The sequence below is a fragment of the Homo sapiens genome, chromosome 1, assembly GCF_000001405.40.
Source record: "Homo sapiens chromosome 1, GRCh38.p14 Primary Assembly".
Classification (NCBI taxonomy): domain Eukaryota; kingdom Metazoa; phylum Chordata; class Mammalia; order Primates; family Hominidae; genus Homo; species Homo sapiens.
The window spans coordinates 199,744,989-199,766,665 of NC_000001.11; the positions used below are offsets into that span (position 1 = coordinate 199,744,989).

The 21,677-nt window shown below is 37.7% G+C and overlaps 1 pseudogene, besides 3 other annotated features; it reads left to right on the forward strand.

The window, feature by feature from the left end:
- The first annotated feature begins 1,727 nt into the window (after window positions 1-1,727).
- Window positions 1,728-7,902, forward strand: RIDAP1 (RIDA pseudogene 1; annotated as a pseudogene).
- Window positions 2,598-3,140: an enhancer, noted in NCBI's record as "H3K4me1 hESC enhancer chr1:199716714-199717256 (GRCh37/hg19 assembly coordinates)". NCBI's record gives its function as "activates a minimal SCP1, AML or CMV promoter by ChIP-STARR-seq in naive H9 embryonic stem cells {active_cell/tissue: H9 hESC(naive)}" and the evidence as "EXISTENCE:reporter gene assay evidence [ECO:0000049][PMID:30033119]".
- Window positions 4,082-4,257: a silencer, noted in NCBI's record as "fragment chr1:199718198-199718373 (GRCh37/hg19 assembly coordinates)". NCBI's record gives its function as "represses an EF-1alpha promoter that drives an FKBP-Casp9 reporter gene in an ReSE screen in K562 erythroleukemia cells {active_cell/tissue: K562}" and the evidence as "EXISTENCE:reporter gene assay evidence [ECO:0000049][PMID:32094911]".
- Window positions 14,254-15,453: an enhancer, noted in NCBI's record as "MED14-independent group 3 enhancer chr1:199728370-199729569 (GRCh37/hg19 assembly coordinates)". NCBI's record gives its function as "activates an origin of replication core promoter dependent on BRD2, BRD4, P300/CBP and CDK7 cofactors, and independent of MED14, by STARR-seq in HCT116 cells {active_cell/tissue: HCT116}" and the evidence as "EXISTENCE:reporter gene assay evidence [ECO:0000049][PMID:35650434]".

Here is a 21,677-nt window from a genome sequence, read left to right on the forward strand (position 1 = left end):
GAGCATCCTGGTGGTGGAAAGACTTGGATATGAAAAGATGCCCATCTTCATGGGAGAGAACAAGAAACAGCAGCAATCAAGACAACTTCTAATTCATTCCCTACTCTCAACTATTCATTTCTTAACTCTCAGTCATCTTTGCATACCCTAGATGCCTCAATAACTCCCTTTCTGATGGCCTGTGTTACATAGCATGGACGAGGAAACCCTAGATTTTGTATTTCTCTACTCCATTCCAGGAAACCTCCTGAGAATATAGAAATGATCAGTGACTATCATTTTTTTACATCCTCCTTTACACAGCATTATCCTATACACATTATCCTAGACACAGCATTATCCTATACACAGTATCCAAACAATACAGAACCTCCCTAACCCCACCCTACAAGATTACTGTAGACTTCCTTTAGGGGGAAAAAACCGTGGAGACAAATTTAGCCAAGCTACTACTCTGTGACAATCAAACACAAGTTGATGAAGTTTTCACATAAAGGAAACCAGCAGTTTGCCCAATGTCTAAAGTTTGGAGATGAAGAACAGAACTTAAAACTGGGACCTAGAGCTGCAGGAAGGAAGCAGGAACAAAATTTTAACCGAGTTAGAAGGTTTATTGAGACCTCTAGGCATCAGTTAGTCTTTTATCTTATCTAGGACTGTGTTTAGGATACAATTCAGCCATCTGGGGGTTGCTTCAATGAGCTTTGCACTCCAACACCTAAAGAAAAAAAATACCGGCTACTATTTGGAAGTCTTATTTGAGCACTCTTTAAAATTCTTTCCAAAATTAATGAGGGCATATAGTACATAAAGATGCACACAGGGAGGCAGGCAGCATCGGGAGACAACTGAGCATCTCACATGAATGCAGCTGCTAAACAAGTTCATGACATGCATAAAAATGGCAATAGGGTTATACCTGCGGGAACACCTCAGAGGGGCTTTAAACCCTTGAGCAAAATTTAAAAATTTTGCCTCAGACTTTCTGGTCTCTTGTAATATTAAACCAACTATTTGTGCCTGCATAAACAGTTCATTTCATTTTTCTCTTTAATTATATATTGTGACTGCTGAATATTAATCTCACCCTTTTTAAAAGGAAAATGTATATTTTTGTCTGTCATTCAGAGTTTTCATAAATCTTCAAGTTTGAAGCAGATTCATCCAATAATGCGTCACTAGCCCAGCTACCTCTGGTTGCCAACAGTCTATATGAATAGGAGGCAGAATGAGAACAAGGAGACCTTGAACTCATTAAATGGTTTATGAATGGTTCCCATTTCCAGAAAAAGTATAAATTTGTTTTCCAGATCCACTCTCTCTCTCTACATGTGTCCATGATGAGAGAGGCAGGCATTCTTTTATCTTACGGAGATTTTTGTTTTATAGAAGACATAAAAAACAGAAGACAATTTGTAACAATGAATTTAATGCTTCCAATATTAAGCTACAGTATAAATTCCTGCATTAATCTAAAACCATCTAAAAATTAATGCAACTATGAAGATAGCTATGACAACGTCCTATACTAACTCATGCCTGACCAGAAGTTATCCAAACATGTAATGAAGCAGTTTTTTCTGTCCATTTATAACTCAATAATTTACTTTTTCATTTAGAGTACACTTATGTCTGTTGAGTTCAGCTACCTTTTAGCCAACAAGTTTACCCTCCTTTTTCACCATGGCTACATATAGAAATACTACCTGCCTCCAGACCCAGCAAAGATGGAAAGAAGGATGAGGGATGCAGCAAGAAAATACTCTATGAGAGCACACAAAAAGAGGTAAGTTTGTAGAGTACCGCAGAGTCAGACAGTTAGGCATGACAGAAAGAATGGTTTAAAGACATAACTTTGGCTTTGGACCCAAGCCATAAATCAGGAAAGAAGAAAACTCATCTCCTATAACTTAGAATATGCAGACCACTTTTCAAATGCATGGTCAAGTTCTTTGCCAGTCTTTAAGCATTTGCAGACATAGCGCTTTCATGACTAACAAATGGTTTGTATAATTAAAACTGTTTTTTGAAAGCCCTCTGAATTTCAGAGCACACAGAATTATCCTTCACATAGTACTGCATCAGAACAATTAGGTAGAATCAGGCTGCATGTCAGTGCACAGATCATTTGTTTTATGATTAACTTAATTCACCATAATATTTACTTCCACTACTTACTCCCAAACAATATTGATCTGCTCTTTCCCAAAGCAGGTTATCCTGGTCTGGATCAAACCTGTCTCTGCTAGTAACAGTTTCTCTAGGAGACAGTTCTATTTTAAATGTTTCATAGGCCATCTAGTTATTTGTTCATTGTTAGGGATGGTGGGAGAGCTATAATAGACAAGCAGCCTCAGCTGGCCACTGGATGTAAGACTAGATCTGGCATTATTAAAAGGATAGACGGTATATTCTATGCCCTATGGAAAATAGTTTGATAATACATCTTGACCCAGAACTTATTAAAAAATCCATTACCTTTTTAATTCAAGTTCATAATACCCTTTGGAATTTCAATTTAGGCATTTCTTACCAAAATAGTAGGTAGCTTTATTACTGAACATGGGAGATAGAGTCTCTCATATTGACAACTCTCTTACATGAGGGTTATTAATTTATTACTGACAAACTCATGTTCTTACTCTTAAAAAAAAAAAAAGAGGGGGGTTGCACATCTTTGCCTTCCAAGATCTTAGATCGACTCTGCCACTGCCTTGTGTTAATCTTACGGTGGTGCACCAATTCTATTTATTGGGCTGTTAATCTTCACCTAACAAGACCTGGCCCAATCCCTAGGATTGCTCATGAAATCCGCACCCTGAGGCCAGTTTGCTTTAAAAACAAGTACAAACGCACCGAGAAGGGATAGCGTTATACACTCAATTTGGACGACTACATCCCATTTGCAAAATCAAAGATCTTGTGAGGCCATGGGAAATCCAACCTCGGCCTCTTATCCTGCATCAGAAGCGCTGGTCAGGAACCCGACACCTGCTCCCCTCCTTCCGACACACTTGCAAGACAAACACATGCTCCATTAAAAATAACACCACTCTATTCTGGCATGTTTTCTTCCCAGGCGCCTTGCTTTAAAATGTGCTTGAGTTTGTCGCGGCGGGCGGGTGAGGATCTCCAGTTACTGCGCTGCAATGAGCTCCCAGAAGACAGACGGGCGCACTGGCCGCTGCGTGCCACCACTCAGCACTTCTCTCGCCTTCTGAGGCCTTCTTCCCCCCAGTAGCAGGTCCTCGTGCCTTTTAGGTTCCTTCTTTGATATGCTAGCACAACGGAAAGCAGTGGGAGGCAATGCTGCACCTTGCCCCGTACTGGGAACTCCCTAGAGAACGCGGTGTTTGGTTGCAGGCCTTTCCAAACTGATTCTCTAGCATTCCTTTAAAATCATCTGCTAGCAGAAATTTGTCTGACCATTGGGTGTTTCAATAATTGCTCTAGCTGACCTGGGAACTGGGGAATCTGGTAAAGAGACACAGCGTGACAACACAGCGTTTGCTGATTATTTCACGCTAATTTGGACCATAAATTCCTCGAATGGATCCAGTCGGCCAACACATGATTTTTAGCACAGGCTGAGATTCTTCAAAGGGCTTCCATATATCACAATGTATTGCTATTAAGAAAGGATCAAAACAGCAGGTACATCTCTATGGGAATTTAGTAAATACGTAAATTATTATTTAAATCACTGTAGCTGGCTGTAGGAGGAAAAAAATCAGTTTGTATCTTATAGATACAATGTAAGCCTCACTTTCATTTCTGGTTTTTTATTTTTATTTTTTCTGAATGGTCGGGTCGCTTTTCTTGATGTTTTAGCACGCCTTTCTCAGGAGAGTTACATTAAAGAGACTCTGTCCACCAAAATTTCCATTTGGCATGAGTACCCTAGAGAAAGGATCAATGTCTTTTGGTGAAGAAGGGAGTGCTTTAAACTATTAGCACTTAGAAATACATCCGCTTATCTTAACCATTCATCATTAAAATGGTTGAAAAAAACAAAGTACCTTTTGCCTTAATATTTTCTTCATCAGTGCTCCTATGATATGTTACTATTACCATGATTATTTCCTGAAGAATGTGGTTTTCTTTTTTTTTTTTTTTTTTGAGACAGAGTCTCGCTCTGTCTCCCAGGTTGGAGTGCAGTGGCACCATCTCGGCTCACTGCAAGCTCTGCCTCCCAGGTTCACGCCATTCTCCTGCCTTAGCCTCCCGAGTAGCTGGGACTACAGGTGCCCGCCACCACGCCCGGATAATTTGTTTGTATTTTTAGTAGAGAAGGGGTTTCACCGTGTTAGCCAGGATGGTCTCAATCTCCTGACCTCGTGATCCGCCCACCTCCGCCTCCCAAAGTGCTGGGATTACAGGCATGAGCCACTGCGCCCGGCCAAGAATGTGGTTTTCAACAAGTTTTTGGCCTTCTCCTTTTTCTCACCCTACAGTGTCCTTTTGGTGTTATAGAAGTGCTATCACCTATTCCTCTTCCAAGAAAAATGCCTTAAAAAAATGGGATTATTTATGCTTTCCCATTATTAATTTAGAGGACAAGATAGAAACATTCCAGTAGCTACAGAGAAGGTCAGAAATAGGTGAGGTGCATTGGGGGTGAATCTTAAGCCTCTTTAAAGAAGGCTTAAGAAAATATTGAAAGTATGGGAAATGGCATAGGGAAGAGGAAATTGGCAAGGGCAGGGACACCAAGGGTGGGCTGGGGTGATGTGTTAGGAAAGATGGGAGAGGTTCCAGAACTGGGAGGCCAGCCTTCGTTATTAAGTAAATATGTAAGACTAACACTACAGTATAAGAGACAAAAAGCTTCTTTGACTTTAGATATCTTTGGCTTTCAAATGTAATGTGTATGTTTTAAGATTCAGAAAGCTGATTAAAAGGTAAATAACCATCATTGAATATAATGCTTTGTTTAAAAAATGAACTCTTGTTTTACCAATATAGCTGATCAACATAAACAGCGAAACTGGTAATTGGTAAATGCTGTGAAAGTCAGAAATACTCATATATTGACAAAGAATATTGGAAAAGGAAAATATAATCTGAAGCTATTTCGTTAGCATATTTTCAAAAAGCATTCAACAATACCAGGTCTTCTGACAAGCTCAATCAAAATATTCCCATCAGAGTAGTGATTTCTTGTAAGTCCTGCTATTGAAGGCAGTATTCTAGGGTCTTCTGCAGCCATAATTCACAGCACTGGTCCCCAGTCCCTGCATATCCTGATGCTCGGAGAATCATGGTATAGGAGATTATTCATGAAGTGGTTAAAAGGATAGCAATAGCAATAGCTAACACTTGTATGATATTACTGTGGACCAGGAGGTTGTTCAAGCATTTCATGTATATTACTTCATGCACTCCCAGACCCTGCCAACAACTCTATTAGGTATATACTTTTATCGTCCCCATTTTCTGGATAAGGAGATGAGCCTCCAATAGCTTAAGGGGCTTGCCCATGTTCACACAAGTAGTTAAGTACCAAAGCTGGGATTCAAACCCAGGAATGCTGGCTGTAGAATCCGTGGTCTTTCCCACTATCCTATGTTGCTTTTCAAATTTGGCATAACCTTTAAATGTAGCAATTTGTCTTTAGAAGCTAAAGAATCATGAAGATGGTATTTTTGGTCCCATTGACTTGTCCACAATGCTATTTTTATCAAAATTAAAATTATATAGTGCATTGGCAAATATTTACTAAGCATTAATGAAAAGTCATATTGCTAATGTTTTCTCTAAAATATATGTTAAGTACTGTATAAAATGTATGTAAGGTGAGTTAACCCATACAACCAATGTATGAGCTAAAGTAAATTAAGTGATGTTTTATTCATTTTTGGGGTCAATATGCACTGCTGTATATTTTACCAAAATTATTAGGGGAATGGAAAAGAAAATAGAAAAGCAAATTTATCTTTATACTAATGTAACATTATGTTTTCCTCTTTCCTGTAATCAAATCTAAGGTTATGTATGAAGCATTCACCATACTTTATAATCAATGTCTTTATTGATCCTCAAAACTATTGTAATATATAGCTTATAGGAAATTTACATCACAGAAGGCTATAAACACTGCAGCCCAGGTTTCTGGGAAGGTGAATGGTCATCTGGAATAAGTAATGTTGCTTGCCTCCGTGTTACTGTCACAATAATAGTAATAAAAACTAATAATAATATCAATAAATGTGTTTTTATTACTATTTGTCAGGCATTATGCAGATATTATTTCATTTCATCCTGATAACCACCTTACCTGGTAGGTGCTGTTATTATCCCCATTTTTTATATAAAGGATTTTATTCAAAATCAAACAGATAATAAATGGCAAAGGCAGATTTGGGGGTTTTGTCTGTTTGTTGTTGTTGTTTTGGGATGGGGGTCTCACTCTCGTCACCCAGGCTGGAGTGCAGTGGCACTATCGGCTCACTTCAGCCTCCATCTCCCTGGGCTCAGGAGATCCTCCCACTTCAGCCTCCCAAGTAGCTGGGACTACAGACGCACACCACCAAGCCTGGCTAATTTTTGTATTTTTTGTAGAGATGGGGTTACTCCATGTTGCCCAAGCTGGTCTCAAACTCCTGAGTTCAAGCAATCTGCCCTCCTTGGCCTCCCAGAGTGCTGGGATTACAAGCATGAGCCATCGCACTCGCAGAGGTGGATTCTAAATGAGGAAATTCGACTGGGAAGTAGAGAGATTCACCCCTAAAGTCTACTGGGTAGTACATGATGTGAACTTTGACACTGACTGAACTGTGTTAGAATTGTGGCTCTACTTCCTATTAGCCGGTAACCTCAGACAAATCTCTGAGTCTCCATTTCCTAATTTATAAAATGAAGATCATATTACAGTGTTGTTATAAGGATTAAATTTAAAAGCAGAGTCTATGACACCTATGATAGTAAACAAAACTATCTACCCTTTATTGAATGCTTATTGTATCTAGACTTTATGCTAAGTATTTTATAAATGTTATTTATTTAATCTTCCAATAACTCCATCAGACAGGTTTTATTACTCCCAGTTTATAAGAAACAGATTTAGAGAATCTATGCAATCAGTCCAAGTGACACAGACAGTGAGACATAGAGTGGAAAAGTGAATCCTGATCCACACATTGCTCATGATCCACATTGCTCACATGGCACTGGGTCAGTCCACCAGGTAATACGGAGTTCATGCTCTTTCACAAGACTGCAGAAACTGATACTGGGAACCAGTATCACTGATGTAAATCACTAGTCAAAACTGAGATTTGCCTGAGTTCAATATACTTTGTAGTTCACATAAATATTTCAGTATAAATATGACTATCTCCTCTCTGTCCACTGTTGGAGGGTCTCTCATGTTTCTGCACATCTTGCAAGCAGAGCCACTACAATCTTTTCAGAACAGTGAATAGGTCAGTCAGGCAAGAAGCAAGCAGGAATTGTACAGGGAGTTCTCCTGGAGGGGCCACAAGAGAGAAGGGTTAGCCAGGTCATCCTTAATCAGAAAGGCGATCAGCACCACGAAAGCCCCAGCGGCCATTGGGCCCTACAGTCAAGCTGTGTTAGTCAGGACAAACTTACATTTCAGGACAGATAAGCATGAACCCTTTAAGTGGACAGCTTGTGCCAAGAGGGCTTGTTTAGCAAAAGAAGCTAAGCAAGAACATGAGTAAAATTCTGAAAGCTGCAGGCTGTGACTTCACTAATGCAGTAAAAACAACTGTTTTGTTGGCTGACATAAATGACTTCCCTACTGTCAATGAAATCTACAAACAGTACTTCAAGAGTAGTTTTCCTGCAAGTGCTGCTTACCTGGTTGCTGCTTTGCCCAAAGGAGGCCAAGCTGAAATTGAGGAAGTAACTGACCAAGCACCTCTCACAACGGCATGACTATAAGTGGCCCGGTGTTATTTAGTCTGAAATTTTTCACATCTTGACTTTTACAATTGATATAACATCTTAATTTTTAGAACTGATGAAAATGTGAGTTTGACTAAAATATCTGAAGTTATTATGGAAATACCATAGAATATGGAGAGCTAAGCACGAGTTGAAGATTAGATGATTAATCCAGTTACTGATGTAATAAATTATTATTATTTACACCCATATTACTGAATGTAGGAAAGAGATACTCATTACCAAAGAGCGACTCAAATAAATAAAAGGAAAATAATAAGTAGGAAAGATGAGTTATTTTTTCTAAGAAATAAACGAGCACACCTAATTCAAACTAATTTAATGACATGAAACATTTTGTTCTCATGTCAGATGTGTGACTCTGCTTTTATTTGGGTAAAATTAAAGTATTTAAATTGGAATGGTAGAGGTCAAGAAGAAAGTGGACCAAAATTGTAGACAGATAATATTTTTCTAATGGAAATAAAATAGACATGCAGATTAAAAAAAAACAGTGAATAAAATTTGAAATTAGACACAGTGTCCCCCTCCAGGGCAAAGGGCAGGTTTACTTATAAACAGGAAGAGAGAATGAGTGTCTCCCTAAAAGTAAAGGACATGCATAGTTACTGCCCATTATAAAACATTAGGGTTCCTTAAGCTTAAAATCACGGTCCTGTAACATAACTCACTGCAGATGTAGGTGTTTACTGGCCTGCTTCACATTGCCCTGTGAGTATTGGGGTTCATGGAACCAGCACAAGGAAAATAATGGCTACTTGGCTACTGCATGGCTGTTAATAATAAACTATACTTTGTCGCTAATCCAGAGGTCATGAAACTGTAGCTGGCCAATTTGTTAGCTTGCAAGTATGGCAAAATCTCAGGCTCTTCACAGTTCTTGGCAACCTTCTCCCTACCTCAACACACACATTTGGAATATAAGCTCAGCTAAAACAGAGTCCTTGCCTATCTTTTTCACTGCTTTATCTGCAGTATGTAAAACATTTTCTGTTCACAGTGGATACTCAATAAATGTTTGTTAAATGACTAGAAGAGAATAAAGCATTCCTATTTATTCACTTAAAACTAAGCAGTGATCAACTGTATCTGTAGGCCTCTGTGCAAACAACTTATTAGACTGTTTTAACTGCTTGTATTTTATGTTACTTCTAAACTCTATATCCTAATGATTATGTTTGATCACCTGTATAAAAATATATGTAAGAATGTGTAATTCTTGCCACATAACTCATTATTTAAAAACTTAAAAACACCCAAGAAGTAATCTCTTAGATATCACTATCTAAGTGATACCTAGATCTGCTCACAGGTCTAGGAAATACTGCTGTGTACTATTGTCACTTGCACCCTTGCAGTAACCCCTGAGCCACCACAACAAGGATTCAAGAAGCCCCAGTATCGCCACAGAACTCCCTGGCTCCCCTTTAGTGATTAACAACATTCTCCCCCTTTCCACTGGTCACCTTGATCAGACTTTTCCAGTTCTCATCCTGTTCTCTATGGAGAACTTGGAATATAGGAGATACACAACATGGAATATGAAATATGGAAACCACTTGTCAAGAGTTTGATAAGTAGCAGAGATATGCTTCACTCTAAGCAGTGTTGGTAAATGAATCAGTGTTCGCAGTTACTTCATACACATCAGAGCATGTAGACAGCTTTACTAACTGTATCACAACAGGTAAGCATGAACCTGTACAGGAAAGGAAGTGGAGCAAAAAGAGATGTGAAAAGGAGGAAAGACAAAGAAAATGAAGGAGTGAGAGCTTAAAGGAGGAACCTAGAGTAGTACAGTAATAAGTCAAAAAGTTTAATTTCTCATTTCTCAGAGGTGCCAGTTTAAATTCAGTCTCTCTAAATGCTTTTAAAATTGATAGGCACTTTTAAACATGAAAACAGCCAAAATGGGCCATTTTCTTACTGAGCTGCACGGACCATTTCTCACCAGGCTCCTCCAGCTGCCTCCAACAATGTTGCCCATCAGCAAGCAGCTCCTGGGATTGGGTTACAAACAGGTCTGCAGCACCTGCCACAGCCTGCCATTTAAAACTACTGCAAAAGAATGTTTTCTTCTCTCTGGGCTTAGTCTGCAAGCCAAAGAAAAGCAAAAAATTCAACTTAAAAAATTTAATAGGTAGATATAGGTGAATTTATTTTAATATTTCAACTATTTTCTCTTTTTTCCTATTTTGAACTAAAATTTATAGGCCAGGAATCTTTCTTAGAACTTTAGTCCTTTAACAATTTCCCCTCCAGAGCTAGCACAGACAGGTTGTCTGATTGTCTCTTTTTTGTACTGAGTGCAAAACAAACAAGCTTCCATCACTGCAAATGTCGCTAGTGTTTCCCTAAATATAAGCTCAAGTTACCTATGTATTTTATTTATGGTTCACTTCTAAAACAATTTGGACAGCATATGTTTCATGAGATGCAGTGTAAGAAACATTGTAAAATGAAATTTCCCTGTCTTAATTAATGAAGCATCCTGGTAGAATACTTTAGATTTATTAACAATTAAACCACCTCATTGAGACATTTCATAAAATTGAAGATATGGAGACCCAACTATAGTGGTGATATCATTTGCTATTACTGTTAGAACAGAACTTAGGAAAGCAGAGCCTTTGTTTAAAAACAGCCTGCAGTTACGTGTACCATTTAATGCAGACTTATGGTCAGGTTAATGAATTTCCCAGTTCATATATATATATTTTACTAGGCTGTCTTCATCTGGGAATGCATAGATAAAAAAAAGGAAATTATTTATTTTTTTTCTCTTCACGTAACATAAAGTATAGATGAGTTATTTTAAGGGGTGAGTATACTACACTCTATATTTTCTGTGATGTAAATTAATGATATAAAGTTCCTAAAGGAATTACATTGATATATTTAATAATACTGCATCTTGCAATACTAAGTAGTTAAAGGAGGGGAAGAGAGAGGAAAGGGAGTATGAAGTATCTGTATAATGTCTTAATTCCACTTAAGTAATCATATAAAACAGAAAAAAGGGGGAGCACGCAGGATAAATAGAGAAAAAAACATATTGCATATTTCAGTGAGAAAAGTACTAGATAAGCAGTGCGTTTGTTTGTATTTTTCAAATCTGTCTTTAGCCTAATGTTAAGACTCCTTAGAAAACAGCAGAATAATGGGAAACTCTAATTTTTATATTAGACAAATAATTGCTATTATAACAGATTCTCTTGAAATTAATTTTCTCCTAAATAGTTAATATGTTCTACTATATGAATTTCTACTGCATTTGTAAATAACTTGCTTTATTTGCAGGAGTTAGGGGAAGTTGGAAAAGTTCCAAGACATTTTAAGCCTCTGCCCTCGGGAAGCCCACAGCCTCATGGTCTCTGGAATTGGCTAATTTCCCCTCCATCTTGCCCCATAACATATCTTGTATGTGTTATGTGCCTCTCCTCTCCCCTCAAATCCTACCTCCCTGCCCTCAACAGGGTACTATAAAAAGAGTACTTCGTGCTCCTTTCCTAAAGGTAAAACCAATACATTTTGAAATAAAAGTTCTTCATAGATGCTGTAGGTAATGGGTAGAGAAGAGCTCCCACCATCTTAGACTATTGCCTTCTCACCATTCCTGCTGGGGTCCTTCCCAAGCATTGATTGCTCTTTTGAAGAAAACTGCCTTTCTATTTCAGTTTTTAAAAATCAAAGGTTTCAGAAACAGACTCCTTCCTGAATTCCTGCTCCACCACCAGGTAGCTCTGTGATCTTAATTAAGCTACTTTGCCTGCAGAATTTCAGTTTTCTCACCTGCAAAATAGGAATAATAAAAAGAGAAAGAGAGAGAACAGCAGAATAAGGGGAAGATTTAGTTTTTAAATTTTGAGAAAACATTTCTCAAACATTATAGCATTCTTCTCTTTCTCTTTTTAAAAAAGTTACTTCTAATGTATATTTCCAAAGCTCCCCAAGGGTTTTTGTTCAGTTCACAATCTTTCAATTATTAAGCATTGGGCATCCCATGTATGCACTCTGAGTTTCTGCCTTCTTCCTCCTGCTTTGTTTGCTACTGATGCATTGGCCTGAATTACCATCACGTTCAGAGTTAAGAGTAAGGAAAATAAACAACTGCATTCAAAATCATAAGAACAGTAGCCAAACTATCATTTATGTTTCACAAACACACTTCTCCTTAAAACCAGTTGCTATTCTTCACAAAACTTCAGTAATTTTCTTCTTCCTTTTACATTTTCTCAGAACCCACCTTCTCATCTCATGTCATTCCTGATAACCACACCATGCAACAAGTCTGCCCATTGGTTTCTGTCTCAAAGTAAATCCTTCTTTTATTCTTTTATTGCATCTTTTCTTTATTTGAAGCATCTTGCTTGTGACATAATATGTCACAATAAATTTTGTCATCAAGAAAGCATCTCAAATGTAAGGACAACATTAACACATAATGAAAAACTAAATATATAGAAAAAAACTTATTTGAACCATCCATAAAAGCTCTTTTTTCCTCTCCAAGCCATTTTAACACATTTTTATTTGCATTTTGCAATTTATATAGTTGCCAACTTAAGCCAAGCATACTCAGGAAAAGTTAGGTTTCAGTGGGTTCAAACTGGGAAATATCTATTTCAGCTTTTCAGCTCTGCTCACTCCAGGTAGGGATGCCAGACTCACACAAATCAACAAGCAGCCACATGGTGACCAAATGGACCATGCTTCTCAGCATCATTTCAAGATGGCACAAGGTGGGGTGTAAGATAGAGAGCAATGTTGAAGGAACTGTGCTCTTTTCTCAAAGGTAAAACCAATGCATTTTGAAATAAAAGTTCTGAGTAGGTGGTATAGGTAACAGGCAGAGAAGAGCTCCTACCATCTTAGACTGTTGCCTTCTTCTCACCATTCCTGCTAGGGTCCTTCCCAAGCATTGGTTGCTCTTTTGAAGAAAACTGCCTTTCTAATCCAGTCTTTAAAAAATCAAAGATGTTCACCTTCTTGCCCAAGTAATTCATGCCTAATCGTAATGCCAAAGAGAGTCTCAATTCAGGCATTTTGTGTTCTTCTCTCGCATTGGTGCTATTGTCCTGTGTTGTATGTAGCTGGGGAAGAAAAAAGGCCCTCCACATGGAAGCAAGTTTGTCAGAAACTTGCTCAGAGCTGGTAATTGAGGATAAGGAGGCCTTCCTTTGGAGCCATGACCCTTTCCTCTCACTATGAGGATGCATTCGGTGTAAAATTGGTTCATCTGTGACCAAATCCAAAAGGCTTAGTTATCAAACTAAATGATTTCTTTAAAAGTGATTCATGCATGAATTGACAGCACAGTGCCGCAGAAGCACTCCCAGATCACACAACATTGAAGTAGCATGTCCTACAGTGAAGAACTGGTTGGAGCTGGAAGGAGCCCGGGTTGTCATCCCAAGTCTATATCTGAAAAATGATGGACCTTAGATAAGTCAGTTACTCAGGACCAAGCCTCTCCTTTAAAATGCTGACAATAATGGATGCCGACTTCTAGCTTACAGTGGTGTTTTATGTAAAACACAATGACCTTTTGAGAAAATAAGACTCTAGGAAAGAAAAGAGCTCTGTAAACTCAGGATTCAAATATCATTAAGTATTCATTGATGTTATTAAAAACAGATTAGATCAATAATGTATCTAGCATCATCCAGGATAATTTATGAAAAGTAGTATATGGAGTCCCTATATCTCAAAACAAGTTGAAATTACTTAAAAGTGTCCTGATAGAGGTTTAAATTTTTAGGATAGGCTAGATTGCAATATGTTTGAAAGGATCCCTAAGGGCAGAAATTCTAGATTCCCAGTAGAAACCATACTCTGACTTCTTCATCAAATAGGGAATTTCCAAACCTACAGGGGAATAGAAAGGAAATCCAGTACAGACTTGATTGCTTTGTGCTCTTTAAGTGATATTCTTTAGTTGCCACACTGATGTGTTTAAGATGTATTAGGCACACTTCTGTGCCTTTTGGGGGTTTAAGGGAGGACTCTTTAAAGCGAATGTATGACCACATTTGATCAATTCATGGGGAGAGTGGACCATACACATGATGGCTTCAGATATATTCTTAAATGAGATAGTACAGTATAATGCAATCTGGTCTAGTGCAAGATTTGGCAATCTTTCAGAAGAGAGGAGTGATAAATTGCTGAGTACTGGCCTTGGGGGAAACAAGGAGTTTAACTAGAGAAAGCAAGAGGCACAAAGAAGGTCTCTTTGCTAAGAAACACCTCGCTGATTTGAGTTTCATTTGCATTAAACATTCTCCTTGTAAAATACAAATATTCCTCGAGGAGGAGTTACTTTGATCAGCTCAATTTCTGGCTTGATATGGATGAGTCGGAAACTGAGAGGAGTTTTGCTATAGGACTGGTGGAGTGATGGGAGGAAAGATCATTTGGAACATGAGTCACTTTAAAGGCAGCCAGATCTGATGGATGTAATGCTTAAGGGACTGTGTACAGCCCAGGGCAGCAATGAGAGGGGGCACCAGGAAGAGGAAGGGGAGTCAAACCGTGGGAGATGTACTTTATCAACCAGGCAATATTTTCTAGTACAACTGGCTGGGGGCATTGAACATTATTCCCCGTGATTCCTTGGTCTCCATTGTGGCAGGATACTGACTCTTATTCTGTTTGAAAGAACACAAAGTTAAGAGTTCAAAGACATGGGCTTGGCTTTCTCAGTGTGAGTAGTCCATTTGCCACATTTCTTTTGCCTGACTCATCCTGTACCTCTGCCAGGTAGAATGATTGAGACCTGCTCCTGCCACTCTTACCAAGGCACTTTGAGAATAAATGAGTAAATTTCTTTGTTAAGCAAATTTGATGCCCAAATCTGAGGAATGCTAAGATTTAAAATAATAAGTGAAAACTTCAAGAGACTGATGTTCTTGTAGCCTCTTTGGGCTAATAAGAGTAGGCTGGTTACATGCATATGTTTAAGAAATTAGAGTCTTGGTACTGTTAAAGCAAACTAAATATGGCCTGAGAATGACTCTATACTTCTACATTTGAGTCCTTGTGGATGAACCATAACCTAGCTTAATAGGCAGACAAAATTGAAAATTTAACATAGTAGTATGCACCTGTAACAATAGCTGAGTGTTGGCCAATCCCAGCGGCCATACTTCAACCACTTATACACTGCTGGGTGTTCAAACTGTGTTCAAATAAGGCAAAACCTGAGCTGTAACCAATCCAGCTGTTCTGTACCTCACTTCCAATTTCCGTATATCATTTCCCCTTTTTGTCTATAAATCTTCTTCCACCTAGTGGCTCGCTGGAGTCTCTGTGAATCTGCTGTGATTCTGGGGGGGCTGCCCAATGTGCAAATTGTTCATTGCTCAATTAAACTCCTCGACATTTAATTCAGCTGAAGTTTTTCTCTTATCAGTACCTACAAACAATATTCTTTTTTTTTTTTGAGACGGAGTCTCGCTCTGTTGCCCAGGCTGGAGTGCAGTGGCATGATCTCGGCTCACCACAACCTCCGCCTCCAAGGTACAAGCGATCCTCCTGCCTCAGCCCCGTTAGTAGCTGTGATTACAGGCACGTGCCACTATGCCCGGCTAATTTTTGTAGTTTTAGTAGAGACGGGGTTTCACCATGTTGGCCAGGCTGGTATCAAACTCCTGACCTCAGGTGATCCACCCGCCTCAGCCTCCCAAAGTGCTGGGATTACAGGCGTGAGCCACCATGCCCAGCCTCTACAAACAATATTCTTAGAAAAAAAAATAAAGCTGTCTTCTGCATAATAGAAAGCAAACATAATTTTATTAGGGATCTAGAACCCTTTCTGGGAAGTCACAGAGAATGGGATCAGCAGAAGACGACTGATACTTCATGCCAGGTAGACTGCTAAGATCGTATACATTATCTCATGTAATCTTCACTGTAATCTAAAAGAAATGCTATTAGCGTACCTATTTAATAGATTAGGAAACCAAGGCATAATGAATATCTGGCCCAGATACCATAGCCTGTAAATGCTGAAGCCAGAATTCAAATACAGATACTGTCACTTTTTCATTAAAGGGCTAGATCATAAATATTTTTAGCTTTGCAGATCATACAGCCTGCAGATCACAGCCATTCAATTCTGCCATGGCAGTGAGAAAGTAGACAGACAATATGGCAATGAATGAGTGTGGCTATGTCAATAAAACTTTACTTACAAAAACAGGTAGTTGGCTACCTGGATTTGGCTCCTGGCCCTAGTGTGTCAACCCCAGCTATTGACCATTATTATATGATACTGCCTCTTACTATATATAATTTCAAGCTGAAATTATTTGGTTGCTTCTGTACGTTGGTTGTTATTTAGTACACACTGACCTCTTTGTTATTCTGTTAAGTAGCCCAAGATGATGATGTATTGAAAATGTATGGCTTCCTTTTGTGAAAGCTTAGGTTTTACCAATCACCTGTTGGGGCATCTCATCATTTATCTCTCAGAAATAGAAGCACAGAGGCTATATTTTATACCTGCTCAGTCATCTAAGGCTGTTGACTAGCAAGAAAACACACTCTGTTGACTCAAAATCCTGCCCCACATAGAGCATCCAGCTTGGTTGTTAGGGTATTTGTTTCTAAAGATCAAGCAACAATATAATACACTCTGATGATCCAGAACAGATGTGGGGATAAAGCCTAAGCTGAAAATATTCCTGGGGAACTTAAACTAGGATCAGAGGCATTTCCACCAGGCACGTGGCAAGTTGTAGTTTGGAAAATGTGCTCTGTCTTGTATGACTTCAGTGTCCCACTGAGCTCCCCACCTTTGACATAGTTGCAATGAGAGAAGGTTGGATTTGCAAGTGGTATTGACCTCGTTGCCAAGGGAAGTAAAGGAGATTTGGTTCCACTCTCCATCCCTAAATGTGACGGCAGGGAAAGGGCCCCTGAAAAAAAAAAAAAAAATGAAGCTGACCCCAGTATGCTTGCTACAATTTGGTGCTTGTGTATTTGTATCTCTTTTCTTCACTACCTCTACTTTGAAGATGATTGTATTCATTTTGTTTGGGTGCTATATTCCATGCCTAAATCCCAGAGAAGGCATTAACAAAGTGTTGGTACTGACAGACTGACAAAGATGTTGGCCTACTCACCAGTCCCTAAATCATATGAGCATTTAACTGTTATAGTTAGGTTTGTGGGTTCTCTTTTCTCTATTCATATTCTATTTCTCTCTCCCTCCCTCTGTCCCTCTTTCTCTCTTAGTCACTACCTAGTTACCTTGTTTCTATAGCTACTAATAGCAGAGCTACCCTCAAAACTATAATGGAGTTTGCCTCTCCTATTCTTATTTTAAAGAAAATAGAAAATTGAGTACTTTAAAACTTAGTGAATTTCTGCTTTTTAATTGCTCTGCTTCTGATGGAAAATCCACTTTACCCTACCTGATTTTATATCACTGGAAATGGGACTGGCATCGTATCTACATTTAGATTATGGGACAGATAGAGTTATCTTTTTTGAACTGAATTCTAGAAAATAAATCATTGTTCTCATTTCCAAAAGGAAGTAGTAGATAATAAAACCTACATGTATTTGCACAATTTTTTTTAGATACTCTGAATTAAGAGAAAATGCATTATTCACTTTAGCAATTCCAAATTTCAATTAAATTTCCCTTTTAAAAATAGTGCCACTGAATGTATTACAAGTAAAAGTGTCCCCACTTTTTGCCTGGAGGCAGAAAATGTTTAACAAATTTATGATAAAGCAATTTTTTTTCTATCAATCAATCCCTAGAGGGCATTAACTGCTCTTAGGAAGTTTATTGCAGAAGATGACACAACCGACGTGCACAAAAAAACAGTAAGCATGCTGTGAAGTGGAGGAGGAAATGGAACACTCTAACATCACATCCCGGCCATACCAAGGTCCATTGACCCTGTATTCTTTCCAGATAATTAATTTACTACACATTAAACCTCGATGTGAAGAAGGCTGTTGTGCATCAATTGTGTCGGAATAAAAAGTGTTATTGATTTAGGATTTCTATTGTATCATGTGCTGACAGAAAAAACAACAACAATCAAGTTACATCTCATAGATGGAACAAACCTGTGCTATTGATTTAGGATTTCTATTGTATCATGTGCTGACAGAAAAAACAACAACAATCAAGTTACATCTCATAGATGGAACAAACCTGTGCTGAAGGACGAAATTGCTAAATAAGTGCACTCTGGAACACACTTAGCTGAAGCGGCACTGCCTGAAAGGGGTTCTGCAGGGTGAACTAGGAGGCATAATTAGAACCAACTGAAGTGTCTAATATTGATAGATAAGCACTCTAGAAATCAGATTTTGGGATGTGCTAATGATCCTCTTTACAGTAAAGGTCTAAAATAGCCCACTGCCCTCTGCCAAATCCAACCATTAATATTTATTAAATAAAATATGAGTGTACCATTAATTTTAAACAACTGACATAAATCGAAGCTTTCTCCTATTTGAAGCACAAAAATTATAAGGATGAGGCCACACAAGATTGAAGTCATGATGTTTTATAGATACTGAAAGAACTGGTTATCGATTTTAAAAATCAAGTGGCCTCATTAACTAATATAACTTGCATATGGCGAGAAAGAAAAGACAATGAACAAAAATGTTTGGGTTCAAATCCCCAGTAACCAAGAGCAAGTCACTTAACTTCTCTGAAGGCACAACAGTCACATCTGTAAAGCAGAAACAGTAACACTCACTCTACTTACTCATAGGGCTAATAAAATAAATGCGATAATGCATGAAAGTGATTGCAAATATTATTCAGTTCTATTCAAATATGTTATTGAAATTATTTTACTTCAATAACATATTTTTTTGCCGTTACTTTCAGTGGCAAAAACCACAATTACTTTTGCATCAACCTAATATTTGAAAAAAATGATTTTTAAAAAGAATGCAATGATAAGGAGGACCTTTTCCCCTTGGGTGACACATTCTAAACATTTTTTTTTAACATATCACAAATCTCCATTTTTCCTAAGTGGTTTACAATAACTTAATTTAGCCTGAAAGTACTTATTTGAGGTTTAAAAAAAGGTAGGACAAGATGGAGGTGCAAAAATCAGTGACAGTGCAAAATACTCTTTAGAAGGCATTAACTACTCTTAAAAATGTGAACACCCATAATTTCATGGGACAAAGCAACATGACCTGAATTCTTTCTCTAATTCAAGGCACTCTGTGTATTAATAGGACTTCCTCACATGTAATATCTGAAATATTTTTTCTTGTTTTATATACCATCCAAATACCTTTTTCACATGTAGCATTTTCAAATCTGTAGTAGAAAGTTGATTGATGGGATGGACCATCAATATGTAGTTATACTGATCCCTCACAAGTTATTCCTATAATAAAAATAGAATTGCTATAAGCTTCAGTGTTTAATATGATACCCACTAGCCACATGTGGATATTTAAATGTAAATTAATTAAAATTATAAAACTGAAAATTCAGTTCCTCAGTTAGCCTAGCCATATTTCAAGTGCTCAACAGCCACACTAGTCACACAATAGCTGACTAGTGCCTTCTGCATTGGACAGCGCAAATATAGAATATGTCTATCCTCACAGAAAGTTCCAGTAGACTGCACTACTACAGAGGGTCTTTGAAATCAGAGACCCAGCTCACATCACTAGGTATCAAACCTTTTTTTTTTTTTTTGGCATAAGCTATCCTCACTCTTAACCAAGGAACACTGTGAAGTTCTGCTCTTCCAGCTCCTTGAAGCCTGAGTTTCTTGCAGGGTGTGAAACAGTTAAATTGTTTTGCTTTGTTTTTTACCACCAGTCTCAGCACCTAGTTGGAGGACCATGCTTATGAGGGTAGTAGAATTTATGCAATGCAAAAAAATGTAGAAATGTTCACTGAGTGAACAAAGGGTCTGCCTAGGTTTTCTGGGGTCCACCTTCCAAATGGGATCCTAAAACTTAGGTGACTTTTCTTTTGGAAAGGTAAATACACTTCACTTAATGGGTAAATTGTTATGTCCACCATATTAACTGACTCAGTGGAATCACAGAGAAATTTTAAAACTTGCAGAAGAATAAGAATCAATATATGATCAAAGTAGCTGAGAAGACCTAAGCACCTACTAGCCCATAAGGCTGGAGAAAGTATACCTGTTGGCATAACCAGATGTACAATTTCAGAGGAAGCAGAAAAGAACTAGCATTTACTAAACACCTAGTATGTATTCATAGTAACCTTATGAAGTGGGTAGAATAAATACCATTTAACAGAATAGAAAACTGATGTTTAGAGCATAATTCTCCAAAAGTCACACAGCTATTAAGTGATGTATATATAATTTAAATTTACATCTATCCAGCTCCAGTGCTCTTGTTTTTTCCATTATACTTTAAAGACCTTCAAAGAGAATAATATTAGTAGTAAAGGCTGAGGCTCCTGCCTTCTGATCATGGATGGAATCAAAACTTAAGACTCCTCAGAGGGCAATTGGCCAAGAACAAAATGTAGCATAAAGTGAAAACTTAAAGACAATCAAACCTAGTATGCAGAAAGAGCTCACAAATATGTAGAGTGCTAAATGGCAGTACACTTCAGTAGCAAAGGAGTTTACAAAACAAAGGTTGTAAGGCTTGTAGAATAATATTCACATGCTATTCAAATACAGAAGGGAACTTTTATTGCAGCTAAATATGAGGATTAACATAGAGCCCAAGAAAATCTAATAAGGAAGAAAGGTGGAAGATAAGAAGCTGGAATGAATACCTGATTCCACATGCATATGGGAAGACAATGTAATCCCTAGTAAGTGGACACAGAAATGTATAAAACAAAAACAATAATTTATATGCCTAAAATATCTCTGAAATATGCAGATTAACCATGGCAGTTTGAGGATCTTCTCAAGTAATTTATATTTTCCAAACTGAAAATTCCTTTTCTGCTTCAAGCCATGATGGAGTAACTGGAACAGGAGTTGCCTTTCCACTGTAAAAAAAAAAAAAATTAGAAAATTGGACAAAATACACAAAACAACTGTTTTCAGACACCGGACAGCAAAAAAACATAAGGCTGTGTCCCTGAGAGAACAGAAACAAAAATGATAAGCCCTAGGATTGCCCCAGATTTCTATCTAGGTATTCTTTTCAAATTGTAATACAGAAAGGGGGAACTCAAGCAGATCAAAGTGGTATTGCAGAGTCGAGGTGATAGAAAATAGAGTTTAGAAAGGCTGACGTGGCTGGAGTTTTAAGGGCACAGAACCAGACAGCAAAAGAATCAAGCTGAACTGTGATAATCTGCCAAAGCAAAATTTAACATTCTTTAAAAGAAGACACAAAATTAAGTACTAAATAAACAACATTTATTGTGTCCAGCATTTAAAAAAATAACTAGAGATATAGTGATACAGAAAGTTATAATCCATAACCAGGAGAGATATCAGTCAATAAAAGCAGACCCTCAGATGACAGAGATGATGAAATCAGCAGACAGGGACATTAAAGCAACTACTATAAATATGTCCTAGGATTTAAAAGAAAACATGTTTAAAACAACATGTTTAAAAGAATATAATTAAGAGAGAAATGGAAGATATGAGAACTAAATAAACCTTAAAGTGCTGAAAATTAAAATACCTAAATTGAAAAATTACATAAACTAAACAGAAGGTTAAACACTGCAGAAGAAAAGATTAATGAATTTAAAGATATAGCAGTAAATTCTATTCAAACTATGT